The following is a 20,395-nucleotide window of genomic DNA, read 5'->3' on the forward strand; positions in this document are numbered from 1 at the left end:
CATAGAGGTCCCAATCGGCCCTGGCTCTTTTTTATTTGACATTTATCAGTAGGGAGCAAAAGGTCAGAATGATAGTTCTAGACAAAGAGTAGGAAATGAGAAGCAGGAGGAGGAGGATGGGTAACAGAAGTGGGTGAGGATGGAGGGAAGACGGGAGCTAACCCAAGTCCCCAGCGCCTGCCCAGCACAGTGAACACTGGCACTTCTGCAGAGGGCTTGCAACCTAAGGCGCCAGAGCCCAGCATAGCTTAGCAGACATTGCATGCTCCACAGTCGCGTCTAGCGCCAAAGGAAGGGCCACTTGCAGTGTAAGCCTTCTGGGATGCACTAAACACCAGGCAGGGTTCTATGTGTACTCTGACGTGGAGTACCTGGAGCTTTTGCAAGGGGCGTGTTAGGTTTCTTGCAACTTGCACCTGAGCATCCAGAGTGCTCTGCAAATCCCAGCCCCAAACTTCTGCTTCCACAGATCTCCTGGAGAGCGTGGCGCACTCAACTTTCTGGACATTGCTGCAAAAACCTAGCATGCAGCCTCTGACTTCATCATTTCATCTTAATTACGGTCCGATTCGCGGACTTTGGGTGGGAACAGACCAGAGCTAGAGAGACTCATCCATTAGTTACTAACTACCCAGAGGGGAGAGCAGTGCTGGCAGTCCAAATTGCAAGGTGCGCTGCCTTCAGCGTGCGGCGTCTTCGCCCTGGAGAAGCATTACGCTGGCCCGCCTGCCTCCAGGGCCACACGGAAACGTGTTCTGCAAACTTTCTCCAAGGGCTCGGGGGCTAGATTGTGTCTCGCTCCGCTGCCTCTCCCCCTGCCTCAATTTCGACTCCTGCCAGACAGCTCAGCCCCTCCCTCTGGCAGTCACCCCGCCCGGAGTGGGAGTGGTCAACGAAGCTGCAAAATGGATCGCAAGTCCCCACACACGTCCGACCCCTCCCCGCGCCCTGACCACGAACGCATCCCTGACTTAACCGCCACACTCGGGCCGTGAGCGCCTGCCAGCAGGGCCTTCCGCCACACACACACACACACACACCGCAAGCAGCGGCGACCAGGGCAGGAGCCCACTCCCCGCCACCTGCAGGCGTCGGACCCGAAGTCCACGAGCCGGAACTCAGAGCAGGAGCCGAAGGACCCCAGCGCAGAATCCGTGGAGGCGCACGGCTTCATCCACCGCGCTCCCAGATGGGGTCCCAGCCCAGATCCGGCCACGAAGACACAGGCAACCCCGGCCTGGGTTTCCTGTTCCATGAGCTCCAGGAAGGCGACAGTCAGTGCTTGTCTGGGGACCCGGACCGGTGCTTTGGGGAACTCCCCCGGAGGGAGAGAGTTTGGGGAACTCTCCCGAGAAGGGAACTTTCCCGGAGAGGGGGGCGTGGACCGGACGCTGCTGCGCCTCCTCTCTCAGGCCGCGGTTCTATGCTGCCCTGTGCCCGCGCCAAACGCCCTGATCTCTCTCTGTCTCCTCTCTCAATCTCTCTTTGCCTTTCCTCCTTTCCAGATGCGAAGGCTGTAGGGACTTTGGTGACTGAAGCTGGAGGAGACGAGGAGAAGAAAATACGGTCCAAACCCGAGCAGGGAGCTGGAGCAGAAGAAGAAAGTCACTTCTGTGCGGGAGCTGCCGACCCCACGATCAAGGATAACCAGAAGCGCGGCGGTGGCGACCAGGAGCCCTCGCAGCAGCAGCCTGAGGCTTCCAGCCCAGGACTCCTCCGCGGAGGAGCCACAACCCCAATATTAGCGGCGTCTCTTCAGCCCCAGTGCGTTCAGCAGGTTGCACCTGAAGGAGCTAGACAGCATTTTCCCACGCTCTGAATATCTCGACGTGTTCGCTCGGTAAGCGGCTTGCTCTGGAGCTTCCCAGTTCCCAGGACTCTGGGGCTCTTCCCTGGACGCCTTTGGCTCTACCCATGTCTCTTTACCAGGCTCCAGTGCCAAGAGCTATTTAGGGGGCTCAAGGCCACTGGCTCAGGGCCGCTCTTGAGCTGTGGGATGCGGGCGATAGCAACTGGGCATCAAGGTATTTTTCAAGCAGTATAGATACGAATCAAGTTAAATATTTGCATTAAAATTATTAATCTTCGGGCTGGTGCTGTGGCTCATGCCTGTAATCCGAGCGCTCTGGGAGGGCAAGTCAGGAGGATCACTTGAGTCCAGGCGTTCAGGGCCAGGCTGACCAATATACTGAGACTTCATCTCTACAAAAAATTTTGTAAAATTAGCTGGGCATATTAGCAGCACGCACCCGTAATCCAAGGTGCTCTGGAGGATCGCTTGAGCCCAGAGTTCAAGGCTTCAGTGAACTGTGATCCGGCCACTGCCTTCCAGCCTGTGCTACAGAGCTAGACCCTGTCTCTAAAATTAGATACATAGATAAATTACATGAATAGATGACAGATAGATAGAGATAGAAAAATCTTGAATCCTAAGTGTTTTAGCCCTCTCTGAAATTCTGCACACAAAGGAAAACAATCCCCTACCTAATGCAAGCCTGGGGCTATTTTTAGGTATCACAGAAAAATGTGCAGGAGCAGTTGGGAGGCTAGACATTTTCAAACTGGTATGAAATGTTCATAGGTGTATTTCGTTTCATCCACAATTCCAAATACTGAATTTTTGTAGTTTTCTTTCCCAGAAAGCAGCTTGCAATCTGCATGGATGTGAGTGAAGCCGAAGTGGAAGCCAGTAAGCCTGATGAAAGCAATTGGTCAGAGTAGCCACTCTCTGAAACCTGCCTCAGTCCTTGAATACCTTTGTCCTACACATTCTCCAATTGGCCTGTTTTTGTTGCCTTTTCTATGTTTGCCAAGTGAGTTTTGAACTTTAGCGGGGGAATAATGGGATACATAAACCTTAGCCTATGGAAATTTCCCATTACCAGAGGGAATATGCTTTCTAATGCGAAACAGAACTAAACTGTTACTTCTATTTCCTGTACAAGGTTAAGTGTAAATAAAGTTCCATTCCTTCTAACAATGGTATCCTTTAGAGAACACTTCTGTGTGGAGTTATGTTGGGACTGAGTCTGACTTGAGGAGTTTGCAAATTAATGCACCAAGGACCCATATTGTGAGAAGGTTCAACTGTATTTAAAATATTTAAACCAGGCTATGTTCTTAGCTAAATGACCAAATTTATAAATATTCAGGCATTGGGATAAGGGAATAAGTTACATACAGAAAGAACACATTATATGAGTAATTAATGTATGTTTAGTTTCACTGAGACTTATGGGGAGGACATAGCTTAAAAGTCCAAGTGCCTGGTAGTCCTGCTGTTGTTTTTAAGGGTCTGATGAAGCCATGTAGAAAGTGGCAGCCCGCAATTTTGATTTTCTCCAATACTTTTATTTGTAAGCCGGAATACACTGCTAATATACTTGCATTACACTGGGGGTGTGGGGGGGCAGGTTTGCAAACAGGAAATTTGTTTAAAAATTGGAATAAAAAAGAACAATTTTGAAAAAGTTTTCACTTAACTAAGAAGGGTGAAAAGGTTAAAGAAAAATTGCATACACTCAAATATATACCTTGAAGGTATGGCACAAATGGAGCTCTATGAGGGAATATTCTCTTTAGGAATTTCTGACAACTAAGAAGTTTTTTTTATGTTACTGTTTTAAACTGGTGGGTTTTATGTAATTTGTTTGGTGGTGGGGTGGGGCACGCTCAATTTAGACCAGGTTCTTACCTGTGCTAATTTGAAATGGTTTTTCATTTTCCCAGGCAGTGGTGATTAATTTGTAAGTCATGAGATCAAGAAATTACTAAGATTCCTTCAGTATTATTGACTGAGTATATTTTCAAAACAAAGAGAAAATCCAGGATTAGGTTATGAGCAGTGCTGTGCAGTTCATGTGAGTGCAGTGATGGGCCCCCCATGACTAAGCCTTTTTTTTCAGACCATCTTTTTCACTCTCAAGAGTTTTCAGAGGATGAAGTCTGGCCCAGTGGCTCACGCCTGTAATCCCAGCAATTTGGGAGGCCAAGGCAGGCAGATCACGCGAGGTCAGGAGTTCGAGACCAGCCTGGCCAACATGGTGAAACCCCATGGTGAAAATACAAAAATTACCTGGACTTGGTAGCGCACCACTGTAGTCCCACCTACTAGGTGTAGCATGAGGCAGGTGGATCGCTTGAACCTGACAGGCAGAGGTTGCAGTGAGCCAAGATCGTGCCACTGCACTCTAAATCTGGGTGACAGAGCAAGACCCTGTCTCAAAAAAAAAAAAAAAAAAAAAAAAATTTCAGAGGATGAATGGCCCCTTAGGCATCCTTTACGAAACCTGATTAAAGATCCAGCCTGCTCCTATTGATGTAGTTACTTCAGACTGAAGATGGGCTTTTCAAACGGGGTTGCAGTGTGTAAAGATCCGGCCATTGCACTCCAGCCTGGGTGACAGAGTGAGACTCCGTCTCAAAAACCACAACAAAAAAGAAACTTTAGAAAGCAAAACCCCCAATTTTTTTGATTACTATAGAATGCAGAAGCTCCTGGACTCTTCCCGAGATTGTGTTCATAACTTTTCAGCTGAAACTAACATCTGTGAAGACCATCTATCTTGGGTGAACCTATTTTCTGGTAACCAGTGTTAAATATTTTTTAATAAATAAAAATTTTAAACTTGTATTAGAACAGTTAATTTCTCGTCTTTGCCTTTTTTCCTTTTTTAATATGTTTTTAAAATCCCTTTTGAGAGATGAGATCTGAATATGTTGCCCAGACTGGTTTTGAACTCCTGAGCTCAAACAATCCTCTCACCTCGGTTTCCAGAAGTGCCGGGATTACAGGCCTGGGCGATCACACCTGGCCTGGTTGTTGCCTTTGCAATATTTGAAGTACATTTTAAAATACATGCGTTTTGTGGGATTACTTTTAAAAGAACTCTCTGTTTTGAAATTTAGATTGAGTGGAAACTATTATCTAAAGCATTATTTTTTACTATTTCCTCTGCCCCACGCCTTAGTTCTTCTGGAACTTTGAAGAACTAGAGAGACATTAAAAATAGTACATATGTCGGTGAGTTGCCGTGGCTCCGTTCAAGCGATGCCGGGGGGTGGATTGCATGAGCCCAGGAGTTTGAGACAAGCCTGGGCAACATGGTGAAACCACAGCTCCACTAAAAGTACAAAAATCAGCTGGGCATGGTGGTGCATGCCTGTAGTCCCAGCTACAGGGGAGGCTGAGGTGGGAGGATCCCTTGAGCCTAGGAAGTGGAAGTTGCAGTGAGGTGAGACCGGGCCACTGCACTCCAGCCTGGACGACGGAGTGAGACCCTGAGTCAAAAACAAAAACAAAACAGACAAACAAGTAAATACATGTCTCTTGAAGACTCCATCACTTATGGGAAATGGTATTCACTATTCTTTTCCTGAGCATGAAAAAAATGTTCTGTTAGTGTGTGTCAAATTGAATGTTAGTGTTTACTGCATGATTTGTGTGGAGTATTTCTTTGGCTTCCAATTGCAATATGGCAAAACCATGTGCTCAACTGGGACAAAGGCTAGAAGAGGTCAGAACTCGGTCTGATGGTGTCCTGTGGCTTTTATTTCTATAGATTCTGTAGTTCTGTTTAGAGGGTACCTACAGCATTGAGGAAGCTGATGTTTAAAAAGAACAGGTGCCACCTTGGGAAATAAGAAATGTTGGTTTCTGGCCAGGTGTGGTGGCTCACGCCTGTAATCCCAGCACTTTGGGAGGCTGAGGCAGGCGGATCATGAGGTCAGGAGATCGAGACCATCCTGGCTAACAAGGTGAAATCCCGTCTCTACTAAAAATACAAAAAAAATAGCCGGGCTTGGTGGCGGGCGCCTGTAGTCCCAGTTACACGGGAGGCTGAGGCAGGAGAATGGTGTGAACCCGGGAGGCGGAGCCTGCAGTGAGCCCAGATCGCACCACTGCACTCCCGCCTGGGTGACAGAGTGAGACTCCGACTCAAAAAAAAAAAAAAAGGAAATGTTGGTTTCAAAATTATCTGGTGAGGATGGCAGTGGGCATACACAGGCGCATTCCTAGATGTTCCCCAATTCAGCCAGGCGCTGGGGGCTCTGGGTATCAATAATCTCCTCTCTGTGCAGAAGTCCCACATTACATGCAACTGCTTTGCTGACATTTCATATCCACAACTGTGAAGTTCGCAGAGTGAGATAGTGGACAACATAGCAAAAAATGCATGCTTTCCTAAGAAAACAGAGCCTCGCTTTACACTGGGAACACATACGTGCTGTGAAACTGGACTTTGATTTAACCCCTGCGAGAGGAAATTCTGATGGAACTGTGGCACTTATCTTAGTAATCACTTCATAGTGCAGCCTTGGTGCTCACAATTAACCACTTTTAATAGCCAACGAGAAGTCTTGCATTGCTAGAGATTGCTCATAAGCAAAGGCTGTATTGAGAAGAACTTAATGTTTCTTTAAAAATGGGCCTGGCTTCCTTCACCCTCCCATTTTTGTTTTTGTTGTTTTCTACTCTGGTAGTTGCACAGGAAGAAGACACCATGATCAAATGACTGCCTATTCCAGTGAATGATGAGTCTAGATTACTGCTCAGGGGACCATCTCCTTGATTCCAGTGCCAATAACCCCAAAGATGCCCTTTCTATTTTTAATTAGCAGGAATTCGAGATCTCTTAAGGATGAAGAGAGCAACAAAATACATTGGACAGTGTGATTGTCCGTTTTGAATTGGGGAAGGTGCAATAATATGCCTTCTGGGCTGGGGATGGGGGAGAAAAGGGAGAACAGCTTCATTCTGGCTTTGGTGGAGTCTCATCTCATGATTCTTCTGAAGCAGCAGGACCTTTGGGCCAGAATGACTCCTATTCCCCTGTGTCCCCCACAAAAAGGGAGGGCGGTGGACAGAATTTGGAGCATGTCGAATCAATGCTTAGCTGTTGCCTTCCCATAAATACTGAGTAGCCGCTTAGGAAGCTTCCCCTAGAGTCCGGAGTTGGGCATGGATGTCCCTATTAACATTGATGGGTCCCTATTCTGTCTGAAAAAAAGGGCCAAACTAGTTCTAAATTCACTAAAAGTCACCCGCACCAGCTCTGCAGCTCCTTTCCATCACTGCCCTCACACAAACTGCAGAGCGAGGCTCATAACCTCATCCTGGATTTTGTTTTCGTTTTGGAAAATTCTCTCTTAATAAAACTTAAGTAATCTTAGAAATCTTTTGATCCCATGACCTACAAATTAATCATCACTGCCTGGGAAAATGAAAACGTATTTCAAATAAGCACAGGTAAGAATCTGGTTTAAATTGAGCGTGCTCCCCATCACCAAACAAATTTCATAAAACCCACCTCTTTAGACAGTCCCATCAAAATAATTCCTTAGTTGTTAGAAATTCCTCAAGAGAATATTCACTCATAAAGTTCAATTTGTGCCATTTCTTCAAGGTATATATGTAAGTGTATGCCATTCTTCTTTAACCTTTTCACCCTTCTTAGGTGACTGGAACCTTATTCAAAATTGTTCTTGTTTGTTCCAATTTTTAGGCAAATTTCCAGTTTGCAAACCTGTCTCCCCCCGCCCCCCACTGTAATGTGCGTATATTAGCAGTGTTTTCAGGCTGACACATCGAAGTATTCCAGAAAATTACAATTTCAGGTAGCCACTTTCTACATGTCTTCATCAGACACTTCGAAAAAATAGCAGGACCACCAGGCACTTGGACTTTTAAGCTATCTCCTCCCCATCAGTCTCAGTGAAACTAAACGTACTTAATTACTCATATAGTGTGTTGTCTGTGTGTGTGACTTAGTCCCTTAACCCAATGCCCGAATATTTATAAACTCACTCACTGAGCTAAGAACCTAACTTGGTTTAAATATTTTAAATACAGTTGAAGCTTCTCACATCGTAGCTCTTTGGTGCATTAATTTGCATACTTCTAAGTCAGACTCAGTCCCAAGATACCTCCACACAGAAGTAGTCTCTAAAGGATACTATTGTTAGAAGGAACCGAACTTTGTTTATTCTTAATTTTGTACAGGAAATAGAAGTAGCAGTTTGGTATGTATAGTTTTATTTTTCCATTAGAAAGCATATTCCCTCTGGTAATGTGTAATTTCCATAAGCTGGGGTTTCCTTATCCCATTTTTCACCCTCTAAAGTTCAGAACTCACTTTGCAAACATAGAAAAGGCAACAAAAATAGGCCAACTTGAGAATGTGTAGGACAAAGGTATCAAAGGACTGAAGCAGGTTTCAGAGTGGCTACTCTGACCAGTTGCTTTCATCAGGCTTACTGGCTTCCACTTCGACTTCACTTACATCCATGCATATTGTAAGCTCCTTTCTGGGGCAGAAAACCACAAACGTTCAGTATTTAAACTTTTTCAGAATTGTGGATGAAATGAAATACACTGATGAACGTTTCATACCGGTTTGAAAATGTCTATCCTCTCAACCGCTCCAGCATATTTTTCTGTGATACCTAGCCCCAGGCTTGCATTAGGGATGGCTGTCCTTGGTGTGCAGAATTTAAAAGAGCACTAAAACACTCAGGATTCAAGATATCTCTTTCTATTTAACTGTCCATCTATCTATTTAATTTTAGAGATAGGGTCTAGCTCTGTTGACCAGGCTGGAGGAGGGGTGACACAATCATGGTTCACTGAACCCACGAACACCTGGGCTCAAGCGATCCTACGGAGTAGCTGAGACTACAGGTGTGTGCCACCATGCCGGTCTAATTTTTTAAATTTTTAATTAATTAATTAATTAATTTTTTGAGACGGAGTCTTGCTCTGTCGCCCAGGCTGGAGTGCAGTGGCGCTATCTCAGCTCACTGTAAGCTCCGCCTCCCAGGTTCACGCCATTCTCCTGCCTCAGCCTCCCGAGCGGCTGGGACTACAGGCGCCCGCCACCACGCCCGGCTAATTTTTTAAAATATTTTTAGTAGAGACGGGGTTTCACCGTGTTAGCCAGGATGGTCTCGATCTCCTGACCTTGTGATCCGCCCGCCTCGGCCTCCCAAAGTGCTGGGATTACAGGCTTGAGCCACCGCGCCCGCCCTAATTTTTTAAATTTTTACGTAGCGACAGAGTATCATTATATTGCTCAGGCTGGTCTTGAACGCCTGGACTCAAATGATCCTCCCGCCTTGGCCTCCCAGAGTGCTAGGATTACAGGCATGAGCCACCGAACCAGCCCGAAGATTAACAAATGTTAAGGCATTATTTTAAAAATCAAGACCAATGAAAAAAATCCACAGTAACCAAATTGTTAAAATGTTCAATAAAGGCAAGATCCAACCGTGTAGGACTCACTCTCCTCACCCTGATGTCCATCGCAATTCCAACAAAACATTTCCAAAACAGGAGTCTGGCCAAAGTTTCCTGGCTTGATTCGTTTCTATAATGCGTGAAAAAATACCTTAATGCCCAGTAGGCATCGCCCCCACCCCACAGCTCAAGAGTGACCTACTCCAGTGGCCTTGAGCCCCATATGTAGCTTTTGACTCTGGAGGGGAGGGAGCGAGACTGGGGCAGGGCCAAAGGCGTCCCGGGAAGAGCCCTAGCGTCCTGGATAATTGCGCACCTCTAGAGCAAGCCGCTTACCTAGCAAACACGTCGGGATACTGAGAGCATCGGAAAATGCTGTCTAGCTCCTTCAGGTGCAACCCACTGAATGCACTGGGGGAGAAGAGATGCTGCTGATCTTCTGGCTGCAGCTCCGAGGAAGAAGAGTCCTGGGCGGACTCCTCAGGCTGCTGCTGCCAGGGCTCCTGGTATCCACCGCCGCCCTTCTGGTTCTCGTCGAACATGGGGTCCGCAGCTCCCGCGCAGACGTGACTTTCTTCTGCTTCTGCTCCCTGCTCGGGTTCGGACTCTTCTTCTTATCCTCTCCTCCCACTTCAATCACCGAAGGCCCTATAGCCCTATAGCCTTCGCATCTGGAAAGGAGGAGAGGGAAAGGAAGGGAGGGAGGGAGGGAGGGAGGGAGAGAGAGAGAGAGAGAGAGAGAGAGAGAGAGAGAGAGAGAGAGAGAGAGAGAGGCGCACAGGGCAGCCTAGACTCGCGGCCTGAGAAAGGTGGCACAGCAGCTTCCCGCCCACGCGCCTCTCTCCGGGAAAGTTCCTTTCCTAGAGTTGAACAAATCACCGGTCCGGGTCCCCAGCCAGGCACTGACCGTCGCCTTCCTGGAGCTCATGGAACACGAAGCCCAGGCAGAGGTAGCCGGTGTCTTCGTGGCTAGATCTGGGCTGGGACGCGATCTGAGAGCGCGGTGGATGAAGCCCTGCGCCTCCGCGGATTCTGCGCTGGGGTCCTCTAGCTCCTGGTTCGAGTTCCAGCGCGTGGACTTCGGGTCCAACGCCTGCACGTGGCGGGGAGCCGGCTGCTGCCCTGGTCGCCTCCGCTGGCGGGGTATGTGTGTGTGTGTGTGTGTGTGTGTGTGTGTGTGTGTGTGTGTGTGGCGGACGGAAGGTCCTGCTGGCACGCGCTCACGGCAGGAAGGTGGCGGTAAAGTCAGGGGCGAGCTCCTGGTCAGGGCGCGGGGAGGGGGTCGGGCGTGCAGGGAACCCGCGCTCCAGTTTGCGGCTTGGTTGACCACTCCCAACCCGGGTGGGGTGACTGCCAGGAGGAAGGGGCCAAGCTGCCTGGCGCCAACAGATTGGGGCAGGGGAAGGGGCGGAGGAGCTAGACCCAATAGAGAAAGTTAACAGAACATGTCTCTGTCCAGCCCTCCAGGCACGCGGGCTTGCAGAATGCTTCTCCAGGGCGAAGGCGCTGCAAGCTGAAGGCAGTGCACCTTGCGGCGTGGGTTCCTGGCACCACGCTGCCCTCTGACTAGTTGGTGACTAATGCATGAGACTCTCTGGTTGTGTTCCGTTCGCACTCAAAGTCCTCGAATCGGACCGTAATTAAGATGAAATGATGAGGTCGGAGGCTGCATGCTAGGTTTTTGCAGCAACGTCCAGAAAATTGAGCACGCAACGCTCTCCAAGGGGGTCTGGGGAACCCTGAGTTTGGGCCTGGGTTTGGCAGACCGCTCCGGATGCTCAAATGCAAGCTGCAAGAAACCTAACACGCCCCTTGCTAACTAATTACTCCACCTCAGAGTACAAGCGTAGAACCCTGTTCGGTGTTTAGTGCATCTAAGAAGGGTTACACTGCAAGTGAATCTTCCTTTGGCTCTAGACGCGACTGCGGAGCATGAAATGTCTGCTAAGCTATATTCTGCTCCAGAGCCTCAGGTTGCAGGCCCTCTGCAGAAGCGGGAGTGTTTCGTGTGCTGGGCGGGCGCTGTGGACTTGGCTTAGTTCCCGCCTTCCCTTGCTCGTCATCACCTTCTCTTACCCACCCTCCTCGTCCTCCTCCTGCTTTCCCTTTCCTACTCTTTGTCTAGAATTATCTTTCAGACCTCTTGCTCCCTACTGATAAATGTCAAATAAAAAAGAGGCAGGGTAGATTGGGAGCTCTATGTTTCTCCCTTCAAGAAGTGTGCCTCAGAACGATGAAGGCTGTGGGTTACAGTGATCTATGGTCGCCCCACTGCAATCCTGCCACTGCACTCCAGCCTGGGAGAAAAAGAGAGACCCTGTACCTTAAAAAAGAAAATGGTTCCTCGGGATGATGCTGGGCCCGGTGGTGCGTGCCTGTAATCCTAGCTACTCCAGGAGGCTGAGGCGGGAGGATCGCTTTAGCCCAGGAGTTTGAGACCAGCCTGAGTAACACAGCAAGACCCCCATCTCTCAAAAAATAAAAAACAAAAATAGCGGGACGTGGTGGCACGCACCTGAAGTCTAAGCTACTCACCTAGCTGAAGCGGGAAAATCGCTTGAACCTAAGCGTTGGAGACTGTAGTGAGCTATTTTTACCAGCGGAGGCTGTTCAGTTTGTTGGCGTTTTGAACAAAGAATTGGACAAAACTCGCAAGGAAACAATGAAGCAACAAAAGCAGAGATTTATGGAAAACGAAAGTTCACTCCACAGGGTGGGAGCAGGCCTGAGCAGCCACTCAAGGGCCCCGATACAGAATCTTCTCGGGTCCAAATACCCCCTAGAAGTTTCCCATTGGCTACTAGGTGTTCACCTTAGGTAAATGAAGTGATGACTGGCAATCAGTCTAAATGGTTGTGGAAAGCAACCAATCAGAGGCTGAAGTGAAGTCACAAAGTTCCATTCCTCTGCAAAGGTCTGATTGGTTCCAAAAAGCAACCAATCAGAGGTACTTTTAATTTCCCGTCTGCCCAGCAGATAAGGTGGGGGTTTGCAAAGGGAGTAGCCACAGGTGCTTTTGTTACTTAGGCGTGGGAAGTTAGGGCTTTCCTTTCAATTTAGTTCTAGGATGTCAGCCTGAAACGGCATTAGGTTCACTGCTTCCAGACCCTATTCTCCTGCCTCACTATGATCACACCACTGCACTCCATCCTGAACTACAGACTGAGACCCTAGCTGTAAAACATAAAACAAAATAAAAAATAAGAATCAGGCCTTGGAATGAGTTGGTTTCCTGAATATTGGGATTATTTAGCCAATTTTGGCCTTCAGAACCACCACTGTCATCAGGCCTATTTAATAAATTAAACAATTTTCATAGGCCCCTAAAAAGAACTGGGACCCCCACTCACTTTGCCCACTCTGCCTGACAGATAAATCTCTCCTCTCTCCCATTCCTGGATGGTAGATAGGAAGCCAGCTACAGAATGGTTGGTTGACCAATTCACTCTGAAAAAGCTGTCAAGGAATTTCACCCACAGACTGTCCCTGACATTAACCAAGACGTCTCCTCCTCAGGCTGGATCTTGCAGGGTCCGGCAGACCTCACCCTTCTCATGGCCAGACACACTTTGATGAATTTTCGCCTGGGATCAGTTACTATGTGAGAGACCTACAATGGTTTTAATCATGGTGTGTATTAGCCCAACTCGGATATCTGTCAGAATTGGAGTTGTGTGGTGTCTCACAGCTGAGATTTCCATGACTTGCTTCAGTGCTTTCTAAATTTCAGTAGTCATTTCTGTGTCCCTTTGGTGAGTGTTACCTACCAGAGCACCAATCAAAGTAGTATTTACTTTAAAATTTTTAGTTAAATTGATTCACTTCTTGTAAATGCTACGTACTGAATTGAGCCTCATCCCAATAAGCATAGGCACAAATGATGGGTTTGATGTCCTAGATTTATGAGGGCAGGGACCCTGGAGCCAGACTGCTGGCATCTGCATGATGGCATTGCTTGACATTTGCTAGCTAGCTCACCTGATGAGTTGCCTTTTCTCTCTGTGCTTCAATTTTCTCATCTGTAAAATGAGGTGATAATAATATCTACCTCATGGAGCAGTTGTGGAGATTAATTGAGATGATACCAATGGTAGCTCACACTTACCTGGTTCTTACTGTGTTCTAGGCAATGATCTAAATGATTTGTTTATATGAACACATGTAATCCTCTTAACAAACCTATATACACATTGATGTGCTATTATACGTCATTTTACAGGTGGTGTTATTGAGTCACCAAGGTGTTAAGTATCCTGCTCAAATTCACTCACTTGGGAAATGTCCAAAGCTGAGATTTGAACCCATCCTCTGAGTATTATTCCTAACAGAGAGGATGTGCCCAATGACATTTGCAATTATGGTATAATTATTATTCTTTTGTAATTAGTTAACTAGAAATAAGCAGAAATAAAAGTATCATTCATCTCAAAATTTCTTTCACTTGTTTGAATATCGAATTAGTGCCATAGATATCTACTGGTACCTCCCTCATTAGTAACCGAGGGATAAGTGAGGATATCTAGAATAACAAGTTTAAACCAGGATGCTGAAGAAAAGTGGCTGAACTCAGAAAGTTAACCATTCTCCTCAACACTGCATTTTTGTTTATCGTTGGAATCAGTTAGTCCTGTAGATAAGTGGTTGCACACATGAAAATAGTTAAACAAATCCCAGCTCTGGACATTTCCCCAGTGGGTGACTTTGAGCAGGTTACATAACATCTGTGTGACTCAATAACATCACACCTGTAACATGTCAATAACAGATAAAGCCAGAGAGTGAAGAACATCTTCTTCCTATAACCAACTTCTTATTTCTTGTTAGCATAATGAGTTAGTTCTATATAACAAGGGGCACATAGGTAACTACTGAACTGGAGATAATGAGAGATAACTGGAAAACAGAGAAGCCTGGAACCTAGAAAGCAATTTTCAACAAGACAAAATTCTTATGTTTCATTGATAAAATCAATTTGTACTATAGACATCAAGTGGTAGGTAGGTCAATAGCAAATTTAAGTAAAGTAGAAATAATTAGAAAATAACTTGAAGGTATGAATCTGAAAAATCAGGATTTACCACTCTAACTTCTGATTTCTTGTTATAATAATGAGCTAATACTATAGATAACTGGTGATACGTATTGATGTGGTTTGGCTCTGTGTCCCCACCCAAATCTCATCTTGAATTGTACTCCCATAATACCCACATGTTGTGGGAGGTACCCGGTGGGAGATAATTTGAATCATGGGGGCGGTTTCCCCCATACTGTTCTCGTGGTAGTGAATAAGTCTCATGAGATCTGGTGGTTTTATCAGGGGATTCTGCTTTTGCATCTTCCTCATTTTCTCTTGCGGCTGCCATGTAAGAAGTGCCTTTTGCCTCCCACCATGATTCTGAGGCCTCCCCAAACACGTGGAACTGTAAGTCCAATTAAATCTCTTTTTCTTCCCAGTCTCAGGTATGTCTTCACCTGCAGCATGAAAATGGACTAATACACCTCTTTAATGAGGTTACAAGAGGTAACTAAAGATAATTAGGACATGCATTTGACGTCGAAATTGAAATGCACAGTCTTAAAAAATTGTTTTTCTGGCTGGGCATGGCAACTTATGCCTGTAATCCCAGCACTTTAGGAGGCCGAGGTGGGCGGGTCACCTGAGGTTAGGAGTTTGAGACTAGCCTGGCCAACATGGTGAAACCCTGTCTCTACTAAAAATATAAAAATTAGTTGGGCATGGTATTGGGTGCCTGTAATCCCAGTTACTCGGGAGGCTGAGACAGGAGAATTGCTCGAACCTGGGAGGTGGAGGTTGCAGTGAGCCATGATTGTGCCATTGCCCTCCAGCCTGGGCAATGGAGCGAGACTCTGTCTCAAAAACAAACAAAAAAATTGTGTTTCTTTTCTAGAGACAGGGTTTCACTATGTTACCCAAGCTGGTCTTGAATTCCTGGGCCCAAGCAATCCTCCTGCCTCAGCCTCCTGAGTAACTTGGATTACAGATGTGAGACATTTGTATTTGTACAAACTTATGGGATACATGAGGAATTTAGTTGCATGAATTTAATGCATAGTGTCAAGTCAGGGTATTAGGGTATCCATCATCCAAGTACATTTTTGTTAAGTATACTCATCCTACTCTGCTATCAAACATTGAATTTATTCCTTCTATCTTACTGTATGTTTGCACCCTTCCACCCACTTCTCTTCATCATCCCCCCTCCCTCTGCTCTTTCTATTCTATGTTATCTATTTTTGCCCTCTCTGCTTCCATGTGTCCACATTTTTAAGCTCCCACATATAAGTGAGAACATGTGATACTTCTCTTTTTGTGCCTGGTTTACTTCCCTTAAGGTAATGACCTGCAGTTCCATCCATGTTGCTGCAAATGGCATTATTTCATTCTTTTTTATGGCTGAATATTATCTCTTCCTGAGAGGCCTTAGACTGAGCCAATATTTAACGCTGGCTACAAGAAAATAGGTTCACCCAAGATAGATGGTCTTTGTAGATGTTAGTTTCAGCTGCAAAATTATGAACCAGTCTCGGGAGGAGTCCAGTAGCTTCAGCATTCAAGGCCCCAGATACAGAATCTTCTCAGGTCCAAGTACCCCCTAGAGGTTTCCCACTGGCCACTTGGTGTCCACCTCATGTAAATGAAGTGGTAGCCTGCAATCATTCTGATTGGTTGCTTGTCACAACCAATCAGAGGCTGAAATAAAGTTACAAGGTTCACAGCCAATCAGAGGTGAATGTGAAGTTACAAAGTTGCACTTCTATGCAAAGTAAGACTTGGCCCACAATCAGTTTGATTGGTTGCAGACAGCAATCAATCAGAGGCTGAGGTGAAGTTACAAAGTTACACTCCTACGCAAAGGTCCAAATGGTTGCAAAAAGTACCAGTCACAGGTACTTTCAACTTCCCATTGGCCCTGCAGAAAAAGTGGGTTTTGCAAAGGGTGTAGCCTCTGGTCCTTTTGTTATTTAGGCATGGAAAGTTAGGGTTTTTGTTTCAATTTAGTTCTAGGAAGTAAGCGTGGAACGGCCTTAGGTTTTCTGCCTCCAGACCTTATTTTCCTGCTTCAGAAGGGCTGAAAACTCAAGGATCCCACCCAAGCAGAAGCACTGGGTCATTTTACCTTTAGGAAAATTAATCAACCTCCCTTGAAGGTATTCGGTATCCTTGTGTCCACGCTTTCTGGCCTTGAGAGGTTGATGCACTTTGTACCCTCTTCACAAATGGCCAAGTATGCTTCCTCTGCAACAGCCCTCATTTCCCCCAATATTTTTGCAAAGCCAAGTCAGCCAACCAACAGTACAACCCGTGAGCAAAAGCCAGTTCTGTGCTTGTGTTAAATTAACGTTTTTAGGAAAGCAGGCTAACAGCTTGGAAACTGTCATGATGCAATGCAATTGGTATTTGTTTTGAAATATGTAACTTATGGTTTGCCTCAATAAATATCACACTTGCTCCTTCTCAGATATCAGCACAGAACTATGGGACAGGGACCCTCACTTCAGTGGTATAAACAAAATTTAATTTTCAACTACACACCAATGGGCTGGATCCCCCCATACAAAGGGTAGATCTTTTTTTTTTTTTTTTTTGAGACGGAGTCTCGCTCTGTGGCCCAGGCTGGAGTGCAGTGGCATGATCTCGGCTCACTGCAAGCTCCACCTCCCGGGTTCACGCCATTCTCCTGCCTCAGCCTCTCTAGTAGCTGGGACTACAGGCGCCCGCCACCTCGCCCAGCTAATTTTTTGTATTTTCAGTGAGACCGAGGTTTCACCGTGTTAGCCAGGATGGTCTCGATCTCCTGACCTCGTGATCTGCCCACCTCGGCCTCCCAAAGTGCTGGGATTACAGGCATGAGCCACCGCACCCGGCTGGTAGATCTTTTTAAAATTTTTTTTTTTGTAGAGCATGGGTTTCGCTTTGTTACCCAGGCTGGTCTCTAACTCCTGGCCTCGAACAATACTCCTACCTCAGCCTCCCAAAGTGCTGGAATTACAGGCATGAGCCACCACGTCCAGATGAAGGGTAGATCTTAAGGTGAATGTGTGAATTCCTAACATTTACATGCCAGTGTTTTAGATTCTGGGAATACAAAAGATACCTCGTACACACATTCTTGATTTTACAATCAAGGGACACGAGAGATTGAAGTGGTGACATTCAGGCATAGACACCATAACTGATTTACCTAGACTCATCCCAAGCACAGCATCCAGACTAAATTAGAGCCACTATGAGAAGTGCAGGTTTGGAGCGTGACTTTTTCCTCTGATAGGCCCAAGAATTTTGGTTTAAGAAAAAAAAAAAAAATAGAGGCAGGGCAGAAGGCAAGGAAGAATCTCTGTCCATTTCATTTTTGAACGAGGGGCAAAAAGATGAAACAAAAGATGTTTTAAAATCAGAAGTGGAGAAGAAGGCTGTGGAAACCTAGTGGAGAGAGGAATCCATGGGAATGACAGAGCCCAGAGCTGTTGTTCACTTTTAGGGAGCTGTGTGGTAACGGGGAGCTGGGAGTAGGGCATCCACTCAGTGTTAGCCAGTGGGGCACAAAAAGATGGTTGTGGTCAACTGGGTTTTATAGGAGAAAGGAAAACAGAACTCAGGTTCATATACAAATGGATTTCTAATGTCTCCTTCCACAGCCCCCATTACAAGGTCAAGCAGTAGGGCCTGTCTTTTCTCTTTTTCTCTCTCACCTACCTGCCTTTTAACTCAGTTGGTCTTCTTAAGGGGCTTACCAGGATTGAAACATTGATTAAGAAGGAGTGAAAGTCAGGACTGGGAGGGGCATCTCACAATGTGACTGGCCCTGGCGCAGGTCCCTAAGCCTAACACCCCAGGAAACATCCAGGATTGTCCTATTTCTTCATTTGATCAGAAGATATTTCCAAGAATGTCCAATTAATTCTATGCGCCTACTCACCACATCAAAACTGCAATTCCAACAGGGAGTCAGAAAAATTTTGAAAGGTGTTAACTTGGTTCTTCCGCTGTTTGTTTAGCATAGAGACTTGGACTTCTGAGGTATCCATAACCAAATCTGTCCTTCCCCGAGATGGATTATGATCCAGAGATATTGCATAGTGATATATTAAGCTGAATCTTTAATTCAGCAAACCAAGATAGGGGGTTAGTTCTGGATAAAAATTAAGCAGATTAAACCATTGGGTATGGACCAAATATTTCTCGTTTGTTCTTTTACCTGGACCAATTAGATGGATTCCTTTTTCATTGCTACAAACTGTCATTTTTGCTATTCATTTATTCATCCATTTATTCCCTGTTGTCTTAGAATAGATAGGCAGATACAGAGAATTACAGTTTACCAGGAGTAGAAGCCCACCAGCAGAAACCCACAGTTGGAGCCAATATGAGTAGGAAAACTTTCAACTGTCATTGTTGAATTTCTAGAAGCTCAGCATGGACTATCTGGAGAGTTAAAACTCCAAGGGTGGTGGCAGCCTTAAGGGGACTGCACATTTTCATGAGTTTTATCTCCAGAAGCCCCACCAAGTTGTCACTGGGAAGGGAGGGCATGGGAATCCCTTCCTGCTTCCAGCAGGTGGACAAGAAAAGCAATCATTTTGAAATATGCCCAGAGCTCTTTGTTTTCCTTAACCAAGGACTACTCTGGGAAGAAACTATTTTATCAGAGCCTAACCAACTTGGGTTTCCCCAGACTGACCAACCACGGCGAAAGGAAGTACTCAACTCCAGCCCCGTCTAGTCTGCCATCTAACCCAAAAGGATGGGTGGGGACGCTGAGAAGCACTTGTAAAGGTCACAGCCCAGGGACACAGGCTCAGTGAACAACTGAGATCTAATCATGGCATGATAGAATGCTTGCCCTCCTCCCAACCTTATCACCACATCAGTAAGAATCCTGTATAATAACTGCAGATTATAGGTGAATTACAGCTGAAAAGACTGCAAGCCTCACATTATATGTAAGAAGGAGCCTCTAGAAAAACTCAAAGACAACAAAGGACCCTACCAAGACAAGGACCCTTCAACAAACTTTAACTTCTGACACCTAAAGTTACAGCCAACAGTAAACAGCCTAATCTTCCTAGCCAGAGAACCATAAAACCTCACACAAAAGTACTATCTACCTGAGTTTTTTTTTTTTCCTTTTTCCTTTTTTTGTAGTGACAGGGTCTCACTGTATTATTGCCCAGGCTGGTCTCGAATTCCTGGCCTCAAGTGATCCTCTGACTCAGCCTTCCAAAGTGCTGGGATTACAGGCATGAGCCACCACACCCAGCCTACCTCAGTTCTTTCTACCCAGTACATCAGGTATGATTTTCAACAAAAACGTATAAGACTGCTAAAAGTCAAAAAACACATTCTGGGACCAAGTGCAGTGGCCCATACCTGTAATCCCAGCACTTCAGAGGCCAAGGTGAGGGGATCACTTGAGCCCAGAAGTTCTAGATCAGCCTGGGCAACATAGAGAGACCCCATCTCTACAAAAAATAAGAAAAAGTAGCCAGCATGGTGGCGTGTGCCTGTAGTCCTACTTACTAGGGGACTGGGGTGGGAGGATTGCTTGAGTACTGAAGGTTGAGGCTGCAGTGAGCCATGATTGTGCCGCTGCACTCCAGCTTGGGCAACAGAGTGAGACCCTATCTGAAAAAAAATCACATTATGAAGAGACAAAGCAAGCATCAGAACCCAATTAAAATACAGCAGAGATTTTAGAATGATTAGATTGGGAATTTACAATAACTATGATAATTATGCTAAGGGCTCTATTGGAAAAAGTAGACAACATGCAAAAACAGATGAGTAATGTATAGAAAGATAAAAACTCTAAGAAAAAAATAAAAAAACAAATGCTAGGTATCACAAACATAGTAATAGAAATGAAGAATGTCTTGAAGGGCTCATCAACAGACTAGAGAAGACAGCAAAGAATCAGTAAACTAGAAGATATGACAATGGAAACTTCCCAATATGGGCTGGACATGGTGGCTCACACCTGTAAGTCCAGCACTTTAGGGGGCCAAAATGGGAGAATTGCTTGAGGCAAGTGTGAGACCAGCCTGGGCAACATAGCAAGACCTCATCTCTGAAAAAAAATTATCCAGACGTGGTGCCTGAGGCAGGAGGATTGCATGAGCCCCAGGGTTGGAGGCTTCAGT

At 45.9% G+C, this 20,395-nt stretch overlaps 2 pseudogenes, besides 1 other annotated feature; one reads left to right on the plus strand and one right to left on the minus strand.

The window, feature by feature from the left end:
- Window positions 1,532-2,682, plus strand: RHOXF1P3 (Rhox homeobox family member 1 pseudogene 3; annotated as a pseudogene).
- RHOXF1P2 (Rhox homeobox family member 1 pseudogene 2) lies at window positions 8,262-9,862 on the minus strand (annotated as a pseudogene).
- Window positions 10,569-11,087: an enhancer, noted in NCBI's record as "H3K27ac-H3K4me1 hESC enhancer chrX:119134387-119134905 (GRCh37/hg19 assembly coordinates)". NCBI's record gives its function as "activates a minimal SCP1, AML or CMV promoter by ChIP-STARR-seq in primed H9 embryonic stem cells {active_cell/tissue: H9 hESC(primed)}" and the evidence as "EXISTENCE:reporter gene assay evidence [ECO:0000049][PMID:30033119]".

The sequence above is a fragment of the Homo sapiens genome, chromosome X (assembly GCF_000001405.40).
Source record: "Homo sapiens chromosome X, GRCh38.p14 Primary Assembly".
In the NCBI taxonomy this organism is placed as follows: domain Eukaryota; kingdom Metazoa; phylum Chordata; class Mammalia; order Primates; family Hominidae; genus Homo; species Homo sapiens.